Genomic DNA, 17,122 nt, shown 5'->3' on the forward strand with positions numbered 1-17,122 from the left:
CCTTGATTAATGCATTCCATAAGGCTTTATTTTAAAATTTTATTATTTTTATTTTTAAAACTTTTTTGTTAAAAACTAAAATACACACATATCAGACTAGACCTACACAGGGTCAGGATCATCAATGTTGCTGTCTTCCACCTCCACGTCTTATCCCACTGGAAGTTCTTTAGGGGCAGTAACACTCATGGAGCTGTCATCTGTGATAACAATGCCTTCTCCTAGATACCTCCTGAAGGACCTGCCTGAGGCTGTTTTTCAGTTAACTTTAAAAAATGAATACGTAGGAGGAGTATACTCTAAAATAATGGAAAAGGGTATAGGTAAATACGTAAACCAGTAACATACTTGTTTATTATTCATCAAGTTATATACTGTATATAATTGTATGTGCTATACTTTTTAATGCCTGGTAGTGCAGTAGGTTTATTGACAGCAGCATCACCACAAACGTGAGCAGTGCCTTGTGCTAAGACATTATGCTGGCTATGACATCACTTGGTGATAGGAATTTTTCAGCTCCATTATAATCTTATGGGACCACTGTTCCACATGTGCTCTGTCATTGACAGAAATGCCGTTAAGTACCACATGACTATTTTTCGGTGGTCTGTTCCTTTTTATTATTACAGAGTATTCCACAGTATGGTTGTACCACAGTTTAACTGATCACCTGTTGAAGAACTTTTGGGTTGTTTTCCAGTTTTTGACTATTATGAATAAAGATGCTATGAACATTTGTTCATATCTCAAAGGTTCTTTATTTTTTTTTATTTATTTTTCTTTTTTTGAGACAGTCTGGTTCTGTCACCCTGGCTGGAATGCAGTGGCGCGATCTCGGCTCGCTGCAAGCTCCGCCTCCTGGGTTCACGCCATTCTCCTGCCTCAGCCTCCCGAGTAGCTGAGACTACAGGCGCCCGCCACTGTGCCCGGCTAATTTTTTGTATTTTTAGTAGAGGCAGCGTTTCACCGTGTTAGCCAGGATGGTCTCGATCTCCTGACCTCGTGATCCACCTGCCTCGGCCTCCCAAAGTGCTGGGATTACAGGCGTGAGCCACTGCGCCCGGCCTTCAGAGATTCTTTAATGGGTGAATGGTTAAACAACCTGAAAATATAAAAGTTTTCATTTCTCTGGGATAAATGTCCAGGAGTGTATTTTTAGTTTTTAAGGAATTGTCACAAACCTGTTTTCCAAAGTGGCTGTAGCATTCTACATTCCTGTCAGCAGTGTGTGAATGATCTAGTTATCCTTGCCACCGTTTGTTGTTGCAACTGTTTTTTATTTTAGCCATTTCGATAGGTGTCGAGTGGTATCTCACTTTTAATTTGCATTTCTCTCATGGCTAATGATGGTGAACGTCTTTTCATATACTAATTTGCCTCTGGTGAAATTTCTTACATAATTGGAGTGCTTGTTTTTTTCTGTTGAGTTTTAAGAGTTTAAAAAATACATTGTAGATATGAGTCCTTGGTCAGATACGTGGTTTCAAATATTTCTTTCACTTTGTAGCTTGCCTTTTCATTCTTTTTACCGTGTCTTTCACAGAGTAAATATTTAACATTTTAGTGAAATCCAGTTTATCATTTTTTCTTTTATGGATTGTGCTCTTCACCTAGCCCTAGATCCTGAAGATTTTCTCCTGTGGTTCTTTCCTAAAATTGTTACAGTTTTATGTTTTAAGTCTGTGATCCATTTTGAGTTAAATTTTGTATAAGGTGTGAGGTTTAAGTCAAGGTTCATTGTTTTCCCAATAGATTAAATTGCAGCAGATCCTTTGTTGAATAGGCTGTCCTTCCCCTGTTAAATTGCGTTTGCCCCTTTGTTGAAAGTCATGTGGGTGTATTTGTGTGGGTCTATTTCTGGGTTCTCTAGCCTGTTATATTAATTTTGAACGAATAAAGTTGGCTTATGTTTAAGTTTTCTTGGTAGTAGCGAGGCAATGGTGCCTTCTGAGCCCAGGATTTCACAATTTTGTGAGTAAACTGTGTTAGAAATTGTTTGTTATTCTTTTGGTAGGTTGTCTAGTTCAATTTCATTGCTCATTAATCTTGCTTATAGATAGCAAATTGAGAGGCATCTCAAAAATAGTATCTTTTGTTAGCTTATCTCACAGAGTTTGGTTGGAGCAGATATTAAAACAACAAACCAAAAATAAATTAAATATACTAGTTAGCAAGTTTATATTGAGGGAAAATCAAACCATGTGAATTGAGCTCCAATGATGTGGCTGGCCTTGGGTCAGATTTTAGTATCATGGTTCAACAAGGTAGCTATTAAAATCTTCATACTTTTTCTTGAAATAATTCTTTAGTAGTCACATAGGACAGCACACACTCATGGATTTCTTCTTTCCTTACTGTCTCTTTATTCTCAGCCTCCTGTTCCTTCTCATCTCCCTGACCTTTTAATGTTGGCCTTCCAGAAACTTTAGTCTTTGGACCTACCTTTGCACTCATTTTCTTGGTCATTTCACCCAACATACAGTTTTATGTTATTTTATTTTTTTTATTTTTGAGATGGAGTTTCACTCTTGTTGCCCAGGCTGGAGTGCAATGGCGTGAACTCACCTTACTGCAACCTCTGCCTCCCGGGTTCAAGTGATTCTTCTGCTCAGCCTCCCCAGTAGTTAGGATTATAGGTACGTGCCACCATGCCTAGCTAATTTTGTATTTTTAGTAGAGATGGGGTTTCACCATATTGGCCAGGCTGGTCTCGAACTCCTGACCTCAGGTGATCCACCTGCCTTGGCTTGCCAAAGTGCTGAGATTACAGATGTGAGCCACCACGTCCAGCCTACAGTTTTAAATATCAAGTCTATACTGAGGACTCCCAAATTTTTATCTCCATCATAGACTGATATCAGCAGTATATGAGTGATTCAGTTGTTTTTGCCTCTTTGCCAGCATTTGGTGTTGTCACTATTAGTTCATTTTAGCCATTTAATAGAATATATGTACATATATATGTGTGTATACACAGGCACACATCTATATAACTACTCAACATGCCTCTGGTGAGATGACCAACAGGTATCTCAAACTTAACCTCTTCCTAATTGACTTCTGCATAGCACTCCAGATCTGCTCTTTCCTCACTCTCCTCCATCTTGTTTAACAGCAGCTCCATTGGCCAAAATTTTGGAATTTTCCTCAATCTTTTCTCTTTTTCTTACACTCCACTGTTTATTTAAACAGTAAGGAAATCTCGTGAGGTCTTCAGAATATATGCAGAATTAAATCACTTCTCTCTTGATCCCTGCCATTCCCCAGGTACGGGCCACCATCTCCTTAGGGCCTCCTGCTTTCACTCTTCCCATCCCTCATTCTGTTTCAACACAGCGTCCAGAGTGATACTTTAAAAATGAAGTCTGATAGATCATGTCTTCGGCTCAGAACCATCTAGTAGCATGCCATTTCATTCTAAATAAAGGCAAAAGTCCTTATGATGAGTTACCGATCCTCATGTAATCTGGCCTTCCATTTTCCCTCTGATCTCATTCTCTACTGGTCTCCTCATTCACCGGATGCAGCCACACCACCCTCCTTGTTTTTCTTCGGACATTCCAGGCATGCTTCAGTGCCTGGGCTTTGCGCCTGCTGCTTCCTCTCCCTGAATACGTTTCCCCCACATTGTCTATAGGATGTTCTCCCATACTTCTCTCAGATCTCTTGGATTTAGGCCTCCTGGGCCACCATATTTGAAATATCAGATTAGTTCCCCCTCCCCCATCATTCAGCATTCCTCGTAAATCTTTGCTGTTTTAAAAATAGCACTATCACTGTCTAACTTACTGTGTTATATTTTGTTAATTTTCTGTGAGTTCTTCTTCACTAGAATATTCTTTGTAGGGAGGAGTTTTTGATTGTTTGGTTTATAAAATCTGGAACAATACCTGGCTTATAGGAGGTGCTCAATTTATAATGGGGTGAATGAATGAATGAATGATGATGAGAAAGCTGAGAATCAGTAAAGTGACTTTCCAAAACAGGTAGTGGGCAGTATAGAGTTGGGCCATAAATAGCTGCACCATACAACATCCTGCTAGTTTCTAAAGCAAATGATTTGAAAGAGGCATAAAACATAATTTCTGCCCTCAGGTAGCTCATAGTTCAGTAAAGGAGTTTAGATTCATACCTATAACAGTAGAAGTAATAGCACCAAATGAAATATGGTATTATGAAGTGGTACAAATAATATAAAAAGATGAACAGTGTTAGTAGTACATGTTTAGAAGGGATTTCTGTGGTGAAAGTCACTAGGCACAGTGCACCTGGAGGACCGATTTCCATTAATTTAGAATGGTTTAAAGTAAGCTTTTGGAAACTAGGAAGATTACTTTCTGTAATCCTTTCCTAGGCCTTTGATTCTAGAAGGATTGTGTTAAAGGAGTTTTAAATATTTTATACAGTTCTTAAACATTGTTAAGCTTGAATTAAATCTTTTATTATGTCTGGCCATGGACGTCATTGGATCATTTTCATTTCTTGGGAGGATTAATAAAGCACATTCCTTCTGTTGGGCCTCCAGTGCGGGGAGGGTGTTGGCCGAGCAGTGGCTGAGAAAACGTTTTTCCCCTGGTGTTTTCAAGAACCCTCTTTATTAGCTAAGTGGTGAGACATGCCACCTGGTGGTTATAGTAGTATCATTTTTCTCACTGTTCTTGGTGCTTTTCTTCTCGTTCTGATTCCAGTTATACTAGGACAACTGCTATAAACCTGGAATGTTTCACACTATATTATTTCAGTAATTTCAAAAACAGCAGAAATCACTAAGCTGTTTGGCACAAAGATTCCTATTTGGAAGGAATCAGACAAAGTGAGTGTTGAGAAAGAACAGCCAGGCAGAAAGCTTTGCATCAGTCTTAAAGTTCTTTACATTTCAAGTAAGAGGAATTGTGAAATCCATAAGACATGTGGGGTTTTTCTATTACTTTCTCCCCAGTATCTATTACAAAGATCAGCACATAGTAGGTACTCAGTAACTATTTAGAATGAGTGCATGAATGAATGAAGTATGTGTGATGTTATGGAGTACAAAGTTAGAATTAGCAACATGACCTGAATTTAGAAGCAGGTGGGATACTTATACTTTTCTCAGTCTGTGGGCACCACACCATTGAAGTATATGTCTAAGATTAATTTATATTTGGTTGTTTGATTTAGCAAAACTTGCTGCCTGTTAAAAAAGAAATTAAGACCTGTCAACTTAAAGAATACATTTTGTGAGTTAAGAACTAAATGACAGTATAATTTATTACCCAAAGCAGTTTGCTTCTGAAAATTAAAGAGTTCAAGCTATTAATAATTATGCTGTGACTGCAGGCATAAACTGGGAATGTCCTGGCAAATGAGGATGTATTGTCACCTTTCTCAGCCTGCCTGTGTGTTGTTTTTAAGCTTCACTCTAGTTTATATATTTTAAATGTCATAAAATACCACATACTTATAAGAGAAAAGGTTCTATTCATTGCTGAAGTGGAAGCTTATCATTAATTTTTATTTATTTATTTTTTTTTCCAGTTTTGGAATTCTTATTACTTTGAACCCAAGAACCACTGATAACTAGCACAATCCAGTGAAACAGAGGAAGCAGCAGCTTAATCAAAGGAAAAATACATTTAAGATTATAAGTCTGGTTATAAGCTTAAAAAGTGACCCAGAAAGGGATATCATTGCTAAAAAAAAAAATCCCCTTGTGACCTGGGTACATTTTGCAAAGCCACAGGTTTGCAGTGTTACACAAGGGCCAAAGGAGGCCATGAGTTGTCTTTGGTTGTGGGGCCGGAGGGTAACTGTTCATGAAAATAGTGAGTGTCTGAAGATTAAGAAAATCATGCTGCAGCAGAGGAGAAGGGAGAGGAAGGCAGGAAGGGAAAGGAGATGCCTGAGGGTCAAAAGCTGAGCCCAAGCCTAAGCCCAAGCTCAAGTTCAAGCCCCAGCATGGCACAATTTTGTGAATTAACTCAGGCTGAGTTGCCTCCAGTCTTTGGAATGTCATCTTATACTGGTACTGCTGAGGCAGAGGGCAGTAATTGGTTCTTTGGGATAGGAGAAGGGGCAGTTGCTGAAATACAAAATTAATAGTCAGCATCCCAAGTTCCTCAATTGCAGCCAAAATACATGTGTTCAGGCCTTTCGGCAGTACCGCCCCCAGAACTACCAGCTGTAGTGTGGTCTATTCCCAGACAGCAACATGCAAGAATAAGTTTACAATACACTCAGCCCTTGTGGCTTAAGATCAGGGGCTCAGAGGCTGTGACAACTCATGATGCTGAAAATGTATCCAATGAAAACGAAGTACTAGCTTGTTTAGTAGTAACGAAGTACTATTAATTTTTAATATAGTCTGATACTTTATTTTCTAATTGTAGAAGCAACATTCTTAGCTATATCTTTCTAGAATGTTGAGGCAAAAGAGTAAATTTATAGTGATTTTCACTGTTACCAGATTGCTGGAATAGGGAATTTCTGGTAGCAAGATGGGAATTTTTAAGTTGGAAGGGTCTAACACATCATATAGCCGTCTCCATCTCATTTTTTTTGCTGAAAAAACTGAGCCCTTGCAAATGTCAGTTGCAAATCTGGGAGTAGTACTCATGTCTCTGAAGTTGTTATATAGAATTCTTTTTATTTATTTTAATAACAATATTTATGATAGTTGAAACTTTTTGAGTGCTTACTATATTTTATTTCATGCATTATGTTCAGCACTTTACATGTTTTATCTCACTTGATATTCACAACTTTATGAGATTGGCACTGTTATTGTAGCCATTTTATAGATGAGGAAACTGAAGCTTAGAGAGTTAAATAAAGAGCTCAAAATCTCACATCTAGTAAGTGGCAAAAACAGGATTTCAGCTCAAGCAATCTGATTCCAAAACAGACTTTTTTCACTGTGCTGCCATTCTTTTGCCTGGTTTTTCTGTTAACTTCTTAAATATATGTCATGTTTCATGCTTACTTCCTCATTTTCATAAATATATTACCTGCTCACTTATACATTATATTGCTTAGAAACAAACCCAACCCTGTTTTCTTATGGACTGTATCCTGAAAATCACTGTTTTTAATATGTGGTTAAACAAGTGTTTTATTAGTGCATTTATATAAATTATTTAACCAAAACACTTAACCGGTGAAAGTGCTTTACTGTGTGAGAATGTGCATGTTCTAAGAACCTCTAATTTTTAAACCTCCCTTATTCTCAGCCTTATATTTGTTAAAACCTGTGTGTTAACACAGATGCACCCATGTTAGGGGTTAATTAGAGAAACCAACCTCTTTATAGATTAGCTTGTTCATCTTTAAGTTGCTAGGCAGGCACTGTAAATTCAGAGAACAATCTGATTGTAAGCCACAAATCAATGAAATTAATTTTGGGGTTGCCTTTTAAAATAGTGTCACAAAATTTAAGGATAAAGAATGCAAAAATGATGCCAATTATCTCATCACATTAGTTTTGATTTAATTTTTTTAATTTGAAAAAACCTACTCTTAAACTTAATTGATTTTTTTAAATATAAGTTTGGAGATAATTTTTAATTCAGTAAAGTTATAGTGATTGAAAAAGTAGTTTATAATTTTTAATAAATTGATCTTGTTTTAATTTTGAGTCATATTCTAGAAGTGCTTCTTTGCAAATTGGTAAATTGCACATACATTTCCACTTATATACAAGATAATTGCTATGGTTGGTTTGTATAATAGATGCAGTGCATCTGAAGAGCTATTTTATGAGAATATTGTTTCTTGTATCTGTCACGAGCCAAAAAGAATATTTTTAAGAAAGTTATATTCTTGGTGATAGAACAGCTGATAATTTAGAAACAACTGTAAGACAGTCCACTTTTTCTGATTATGAAATAATACCATAGTTAAGTGTAATTTCCTATAATAGAATAAAAACACGAGTTCTAGTTTTAGGGGAGGCATGTTGTTACCGTACCTTAGAATTTCTGGAAGATGACATATTCATGCTTTTCCTGATAACTGCTGAGTCTCCTGCTCTGTCTGCCAATCCAGTCAAGAAGCCTTTGCTAGCAATCAATTAATAATACGTTTCATTTATACATATTTCCTATATATAGTATGTTATTGATTATCTCAGTACCACTGAAGAGAGGTTATCTGGGTCATTGGAGCTTTGCTTCTAGATTTGTGAAGCCATAAACCTATATATTTAAAATAGGAGGCCAAAAAAAAACGACCATTGCTTTATATAGTTAGATTTTCAGTGAATTGAGAGTTTATCATTTGTAATTATACATTAATCAAATATAAGGCATAATATACCCCCCTGCTTATATCAGCACCATTTCAAATGTAATGTTAAAAAATAATAAATGGAGAAGTAGATAGCTAACAAGTAGGCTTAATTTAATAAGACAAAGTAAATGGCATTTGGAAACCTCATGGATTTAATGTTTTATTTAAATGATTTCTGATTTTTAAAAAGTAAATATTGTTTCCAGAAGGCTGAGAAACAAGTTAGTAGGGAGATTTTTTCTTTGCAAAAAAATTTTACAGTTGTGTCTTTAACATTGTACCACAAACTGTTGTCCTACCAGTCTCTTTGTAAGAAAGCTATAGACATGTTGGGAATGAATGAGCTCTTTCCTTTTTAAAATATCAGTTTTACATCATTCAGGTTCCAATCGTTGCACTTACTGCTACTGCAAGTTCTTCAATCCGGGAAGACATTGTACGTTGCTTAAATCTGAGAAATCCTCAGATCACCTGTACTGGTTTTGATCGACCAAACCTGTATTTAGAAGTTAGGCGAAAAACAGGGAATATCCTTCAGGATCTGCAGCCATTTCTTGTCAAAACAAGGTAAGGATTTAATGGTTGATGAATTTTGGTAATGATTTCCTTTTTTTTTTTTTAACAACTTATGTATTTTATGTTATTTACGATTTCCTTCTAATGCATATTTAACATATTTCAAATTCCACCTAGTTTTGGTTCAAGTCAAGCATGATGTTATATAATCAATTCAGTGATTGAGACTAGTGTATTTTTAAAAGCAGAAACCAATTCTCCTAATATTTTAATACCCCATTCTGTTGCTTAAACAGGGCATATACTATTTATTTTTATTTTTTAAAATTTTACTTATTTATTTATAGAGACAGGGTCTCTCTGTCGTCCAGGCTGGAGTGCAGTGGTGTGATCACAACTCACTGCAGCCTCAAACTCCTGGGTTCAAGCAGTCCTCCTGCCTCAGTCTCCCAAGTAGCTGGAACTACAGTCTTGCACCACCATGCCTGGCTAGGACATATACTTTTAATGATTGATAAGTAAACAAGCAAACATAAAATGACTCTTTCATCTGAATTCTGTCTAGTTTACTAATTACATGACTTCAGTCTTAAGGAGCTTAGAAAAGGTCACCTTACAAACACAGTGGAGCCTGTATTGTGTTCCAAGGACTATTGTAGGCGCTTTCTATATAAAATGATCTAATTTAATCCCTATAACTGCTCAGTAAGTTACGTATTATTTTCATTTTATTGTTGAGGAAACTGGCATTAGTACTTTTTTCTGTTTATTTTGTTTAAAGGCATTTTAAATATATATGTTAAGAAGTTTTCAAAAGCCTATATTTTACTTTTTATAAGCCTTTATTTTACTATTTGAGACAGTGTCTTGCTCTGTCACCCAGGCTGGAGTGCAGTGGCGCAATCCCGGCTCACTACAACTTCCACCTCCTGGGTTCAAGCTATTCTCCTGCCTCAGTCTCCCAAGTAGCTGAAATTACAGGTGTGCGCCACCATGCCAGGCTAATTTTTGTATTTTTTAGTGGAGACGGGGTTTCACCATGGTGGCCAGGCTGATCTCGAACTCCTGACCTCAAGTGATCCACCTGTGTTGGCCTTCCAAAGTGCTGGAATTACAGGTGTTGGCCACTGCGCCTGGCCAGTTTATAATTTTAAACATTAAAATAAATGCTTCTTGTCCAATCATGGTGTCTCACACCCAGAATCCCAGCACTTTGGGAGGCAGACGTTGGAGAATCACTTGAGGCCAGGAGTTCGAGACCAGCCTGGGCAACATGGTGAATCCCTGTCTCTACAAAAAATACAAAAATTAGCTGGGCATGGTGGTGCATGCCTGTAGTCCCAGCTATTTGGGAGGCTGAGGTGGGAGGATCATTTGAGCCCAGGATGTTGGGGCTGCAGTGAGCTGAGATCACACCACTGTACTCCAGGCTGGATGACAGAGCAAGGCCCCGTTTCAAAAAAAAAAAAAAAGCTTCTACCAATACAAACACAAAACAAGCATAGACAAATAGAGTTTAAAGAACATCATTGGTGTTTTCCTCTAAAGGGAATATTGATGCTAGGCCAAGAAAATCCTGGAGTTATTCTTGAGGACCTTAAGGAATAATTGAAATGTAGGATTTGCTCCTGGCTTTCTTGTCCTATATTCAGAATAAAACAAGAATGGATCGAATATATTCTGAGTGTTCTGGCCATTCTAGTGCTCTCTGAAGTGAGTACTCACTGTGTTTCACTTCCCTTTCATCCTAAAGAGGAAAAGTTCTTTTGAAGAAGGCTGTTTGTCCTAGGTTAGAGTCTCCACAGTCAGATCATTATCTCCTCCTAATCTTTGATCCTGTTCAGTCTCTATGGTACTTTCCCTTATAATAACACTCTCTATGGCACTTTCCCTTATAATAACACTCTCCTTTTTAAAGCAGTTTGCCTTTTTTGTGTGTAATATTGTTCTCCTGGTTTTCTGACGTCCTGGTCCTCTTATAATCCTATGCAAATGTTTCTTTCTGTTTTTCATGTTGACTCTGCTAATTGAGGTCTTTGTTACTTTTTAGCCGAGACTATTATAATTTCCCCAACAGATACCCCTCTCCCCAGTGCCCCTTGTTGCTTTCTATGCAGTTTACAAATTATTGTCTGCAAACACATCCTTAAGTCTGGAATACCTTTCTGGAACTCCTTACTAGGAAATAAAGACCAGACTCAGTGTAACATTCAACAGTATTGAAGATCTAGGTATTTAATATGAATTTTTTTTTTTAAGGAGATCAAGAAAGATTTTTGTACCCATTTTTAATCCTCCAAGAAGACTTAGGATAGCAGGAAACCATTGAGAGTCAGAATGCTTTCTACAGATCTTAGGTGAACAGAAACTTTCCTCTTCATGAGCAGTGAGGTAGAGGGTAATTAAGGCTTCAGAGCATTGCCCGTTATTTCCATCTTCTTCCCTTCCTTTAATTCTGCTAAATTCCTTTAATTTGTTTATCAGTATTCAAGTATTTTTATCCATTGAGCTAAGGTGTTTCTTAAACTAACCCTATTTTGTTAAAGTCTTAATTATAATATATTCATAGTACATTTAAGTGAGATAGATGAGTCTCTCATATAATTTAGTGGTTAGATTAGATTAGAATTTTCTCCCCTCAGAAAATTAAGAGGAAATAAAAGTCTGTAGCAAATCACTTGGCAAAATAATGGCTCCTTTTGTAATAGGAATTTTTACTCTTTTGATTTATCTGTTACATAAGTTCAAATTTTTACATATTTTCCACCTTTTTTAAAAAAGAGTGATATGTAGTCAATATCAATTTGAGCAACACTGTTGCATATAAATTGAAAAGGACTCCAATTTTCTAATTCCGTACCTCAGTTGTGATCACTGTTGGTATTTTGGCATTTATGTAGACTTCCTTTCTCTGACCCTACTACTGTGCAGATATATAGTTGCAGTTTTTTGTTGTTGTTAAGTTGATACAGAAATAGTTGCATACTATATCCATTATTTATGCAAATTTTTTTTCATTTAAAGTATCTGCTATCTTTCCATATATTGCATTTTCTTAAATTAGAGCCTTAATATATAGGATATTACAATATCTAGGTTTTGTTGAGTAGTTTTTTCTTCTTTGAAAACATGTTTTTAAAATAAGGTTTTTTTTTTTTTTTTTTTGACATGGAGTCTTGCTCTGTCGCCCAGGCTGTAATGCAGTGGCGGGATCTTGGCTCGTTGCAGCCTCTGCCTCCTGGGTTCCAGCGATTCTCCTGCCTCAGCCTCCTGGGTAGCTGGGATTACAGGTGCATGCCACCATGCCCTGCTAATTTTTGTATTTTTAGTAGAGACGGGGTTTCACCTTGTTGGCCAGGCTGGTCTCGAACTTCTGAGCTCAGGTAATCCGCCCGCCTTGGCATCCCAAAGTGCTGGGATTACAGGCGTGAGCCACTGTGCTGGCCTTAAAATAAGATTTTTATACACTAAAAGAAAACTTACATTTTTCACTCCATTAAGTAGTTCACTGTGAATTTTTGATATTGAAGCCCATTTGGTTGCTGTCAAAAATAGATTTGAACAGATTATTCAGTATGACTCTTGTAGTGAAATTATTGCCTTGTTTCCTCTGCTTAAGTTTTCAGTGGCTTTTGCCACAGTCCTTAAAGGTTTTATAATTTTTTTAATGTTTAATTTTTAAATGTTTGCTTAATATTTCTTAGTATGAGTGTAGATAATGATGAACATTTAGATGACTTTTTACTATTATAATGTTGCAGTGAATATTTGTTTACATTTATCTTTTGGCCAATAAGCAAATATTTTTGTAAATTAGAATCCTAAAATTGAAATTGGATCAAAAGTTATATGCACTTGAAATTGATTAACTTTTCCTAAATCTAAAATAGTATAGTCTTTTTTATATTGTCAGCATAAATGAATGCACTTATGTAAATGAATATTTTTAGGCGTTAAGTAAAATATTCTGTGGAAATTGAACATTTAAGTTGTTTATACTTCTATGGAAATCGTTTACGCTTTTAATAAAGAAGCACAAGTTTCTACAAAATACATTCTAACAGATGTTTTCTATAACATTCAGTCTCAAGATTACTAGTAAATACTTCTTTGAACTGTAAAAGCAATCTTTCAATATTATAAGAAAGCTCTTGCTTTAGTAAACATTTAGAAACTCAGCTTTATTATCATAAGCAAGAATAAGAACAGTGTAACAAGTTTTATGCACACTCCTTTGTAAACCCTCACCAGACTAATTGTTAATCTGGTGCCTTGCATTCCCCAAAGTATTTGTATCTGTCGTTTATAAGTTTTTATCAAGGTTTCAGCTAAAACAAATAAATTTGTTTCTGGTTTTAGCTTTAATTTGAACTGAAACAGTCAAAACTGAGTTTTGGGGACTTCACACAATTCATTTGGATATTTGATTCTCCATAATGTTTTAAATTTTCATGCACTTAAATATATCATTATTTTTGATAGGCTTTCTTCCTTTAGTCTTTTCTTTAGAAGGTAGAAAGGAAGAATTAAATAAGATAAAACCAAACGGGTCTGAAGCATGTATAAAGTATATATGTTTGCTCTTTTGTTCTTCTTTTTCTTTAGTTCCCACTGGGAATTTGAAGGTCCAACAATCATCTACTGTCCTTCTAGAAAAATGACACAACAAGTTACAGGTGAACTTAGGAAACTGAATCTATCCTGTGGAACATACCATGCGGGCATGAGTTTTAGCACAAGGAAAGACATTCATCATAGGTTTGTAAGAGATGAAATTCAGGTATGAGGATCAATCATCATTGCTCTCCGTTGCTCATAGTGGAAGTGGATATTTCTCAAATGTTTATTTACCAGATCTTTATTGAATACTTTCTTTGTGTTGAACATAAAGCAGTCCCTCTGATAAATGTGGGAGAACAAACTTGCAGATTAGTATAAATAGCAATCTGTACCTAGTGCTTAGGTGCACAGAGGAGGGAGGAATAGCTCTGTCAAGGTAGTTGTGTAATGGGGGTGGTCCATCCAGGAAAATTCAATTAGAGTCCAAACATGTAAGTAGAAGTTTTTCAAGTATGCCAGGCCAGTAGGTGATGAGGGGAAAGGAATTGGTTATAGAATTCCAGGAAGAAGGACTAGCAGGTGCAAAGACACTTTGATATGAGAACACATACTGGGTTCAGGAAATGTGACTGGTATGGAATGGTTGGAGGGAAAGACAATGTGGGGTAGGAATGGCACAAAGTATGGACAAAGAGGCAGGGTGGAACCGTTAGAGACTTGAGAGAACAGTTGAATGGGTCGGTTGGCCAGGTTATAGATGGCTTTAAAACTTGCAAAGAAGCAGTCTGGGCTTGGTATCATATACCTGTTAGTTTTCACTGACTACTTTAGCCTTAGAATTTTTAGTTTAGATACAATTTTCTGTAATAGGTAAAACGGATTAAAGTAGAATAACTCTGGCTGAAGTTAATGTGAGGGAAAAGGAGGTACAAGAGTCTCGTCTCTAGACCTTGAAGACACTCCCTGTTGGGGTCTTATAATCCTTGGAGTGCCGCAGAATCATTTGAAAACCATCTTGATGTACTACTCTGTGTTTTTAAATAAGATAATAGGATTATAGAAACATTAGACTGGCAGCAATAAGTTGGATTGATTTGAAGAAGAGAAACTGAAGAAGGGAAAGGGTATCGATGCAGCTATTGTGAAATTCTACAGTTGAGATTCCTGACCTGATTGGACTGGCTCAGTGGGTGTCATAGAGGATTTATTTGGGAGGATTTAAGTTCAAGGCACATGAGTAGGTTTAAGTCAACAACTTGACACTGTCAACATGAAATCCACACTGTAACTATAAGTCCGAGGAAGAGCCCTCTCCTGAAGTTAGGAATTTAACTTCAGCTCTTGCATTTTCTGTCCCACCGGTCATCCATTTCTTCTCTATCCATCTCCTTTTCTGATATCTAGTTGTTATCAGTGTTGTTGAAAAGCTTAAGTATGATTCATATTCACTGTCTATAAAGTTCACTACACATAGTCATGCTGTAATGCATACCCGCCTGAAAGCATCTGGTCTCTCTTTTCCTTCTTTCCAAAGATAAGAATACCATTCACAGCTGTTTAGAATAGAAATTTTATCCAAATTCTTCAGTGTTTATATTTTTGTTCTGTTATTTCAGTGTCTTGAATATTGTCAAATGACATTTATTAGCTACTACTGGTACTACTGAATCTTAATAATCAATCTTCAAGCCATTAACTGACCAATGGTTTCTTCTATCTTAATGTATTAGTAATTATTCATTTAGAGTAAAACATCTCCCAGAACATGAAAGAATACAAACTTTATTCATGTTACGTTGTGACAGGAGACTTTGTTGGATGCGCCTGATTTTCCTGCCAATTCACAGCTTCATTAAAACAGTAATGCTTTGAAATATGGCTTAGGAAACTTCACAATGATCATTAATTACACCTAATTTCTGGAAGAGTATATGCATGTATGTGTTGCGGTATTCTCCCTTGCTGTGGCAGGATGTCACAAATTTTTATCCACATTACGAAAATTTAAAAATTGATATGGTTTTTTCTCCCTACGTTGATATCAGATATTTTGTTTTATCTGACAGCTGGCCCAATGTACTCCTACTTTGCCATTATAAAGAATTCAAAAGCTTCATATTTGCATTGAAAGTTCTCAAACACTTTGTAAAGATGATGAAAGTATGTTTCATCATCTATGTAGAATAGTCAGGTGTTCTTGCAATTGATTACTTGCTACCGAGAATTGAATACCTACTGAGTGCATAATGTATAGAATTCTAGATATTCACTTTTGTGTGTTTTTACAGTTGTTATATACCTTAGTGTGGCTCTAAAAGTGGAGGTGACAGCTGTAGCTCTTAATGTCTTACACTGAGTGATGTTTAGAATCTTAAATTTTCTTTTATAATTTTAGAAAAAAGTATACTTTTCTTTCTTATTTTTATAACCAGATCCAAACACATTTGCATGTAGATAGGCATTTTTAGTCTTGAACATTCATTTTTACTTTTAATCCTCACTTTTATTAGTTTCGTATCTTTTTGTATTTCATTTCCCCTTTCAAGATGCCTTGAGTCCTTTCTTTTTAGGAATGATGTTGTGAATAAATTATTTGATAAAATGTCTTTACACCTGAGAGTTTATAAGGATAGTTTGAAAATCATGTCTGTAAAATAGGTTGATCTCACCTAAAAATAATACCATATAATTAAAATTAGAATTATTATTGTGTTGCTTATTGACTCTTACATATATCAAAAAATTGCTGAGTCTTATTCAGCCAGAGCTTTTACTTAGTATGATATTCATTCCTATATTTACTTTTTTCTCACCTTTCTCATACTTTCTTTTACTTACTCAGCATTTTCCTCCTTTCCTCCCTCCTTTCTTTTCTTCTTTCCTTCTTTTCTCTTCCTTTCGTATTCCTGGTCCATCTTAGCATGTAATCTTTCTTTATGAAATGGCATGCAGATAGGTCTACTGTTCTTACAGTAAAAAACTTCAAGGCCTCATGTCTTTCCCACTTCTGTTTCCCATTCACAACCTTTTTAGCTGATTCTTTTGGTACTTTACCACTATATCTTGCCATAGTTTATGTACCTGGCTCCTACTTAATTTTTTGTTTATTTGTGTATTAGTCGTAGGCATTATTTATCGACTCTTCTCTCTGAAAGATGAAAGGTTAGCTCTCTTTCACATTCTTAACTGCCCTTTTTTCTTACCTTGTCCATGTATTTCTAACCCCCTTTCCTCCTAATATGTTTATGTCATAATTTTGGCTAGATTAGTGTATACGATTTACATAATTATTACTCTGTAAATGCTTTTTATGATCTCTGAGCCATGTAGTATATTATGGCTATTTTTCTTTCTTATCTATTTGTATTTTTATTGTTATTACCTAAAAAAAAATTTTCTATGTCTTATCACTAATTCTTCCCTAAAATTTCCCACAATTGTGTAAACTTACCTCAGTATATTCATAGATATGAGACATTCTATCAATTTTACCCTCTTAAAGATGCAGAGATAATGCATTATGTTTCATCCCACCATCTTTAATGAGAAGCTTCCATCTTAGATTAATATTAGAGAATGTTAAAATACTCTGCAATCAGGTAAGGACGCTTGAAACTTCATTATAATGCAAAAGTTTTCTTTAACACAATAAATATTTTGAACCCCTTTTGTGTCTTGTATTCATAGGAGTTCAGATAGACCACTTTATTTACTATTTTTTATAGAGAGTGAACAGAAATCCCATTTCTAGTCACCAGTCCTTAATCTGTAAATCAGG

General features: G+C 35.8%; 1 protein-coding gene across 6 annotated transcripts in view; it reads left to right on the plus strand.

Moving 5' to 3' along the window:
* Nucleotides 1-17,122, plus strand: part of WRN (WRN RecQ like helicase) — a 142,329-nt gene that overhangs the window by 69,155 nt on the left and 56,052 nt on the right. For all 6 annotated transcript variants that reach the window (XR_949472.4, XR_949471.4, XR_949470.4 and 3 more), the window contains 2 exons: nucleotides 8,651-8,835; nucleotides 13,390-13,564. Coding sequence is in view for 3 of the 6 variants with exons in the window: in NM_000553.6 (NP_000544.2) it covers nucleotides 8,651-8,835; nucleotides 13,390-13,564 (360 nt within the window). In the remaining 3 variants the exon portion in view is untranslated. The remainder of the gene's footprint in view (nucleotides 1-8,650; nucleotides 8,836-13,389; nucleotides 13,565-17,122) is intronic.

The sequence above is a fragment of the Homo sapiens genome, chromosome 8 (assembly GCF_000001405.40).
Source record: "Homo sapiens chromosome 8, GRCh38.p14 Primary Assembly".
Lineage (NCBI taxonomy): Eukaryota > Metazoa > Chordata > Mammalia > Primates > Hominidae > Homo > Homo sapiens.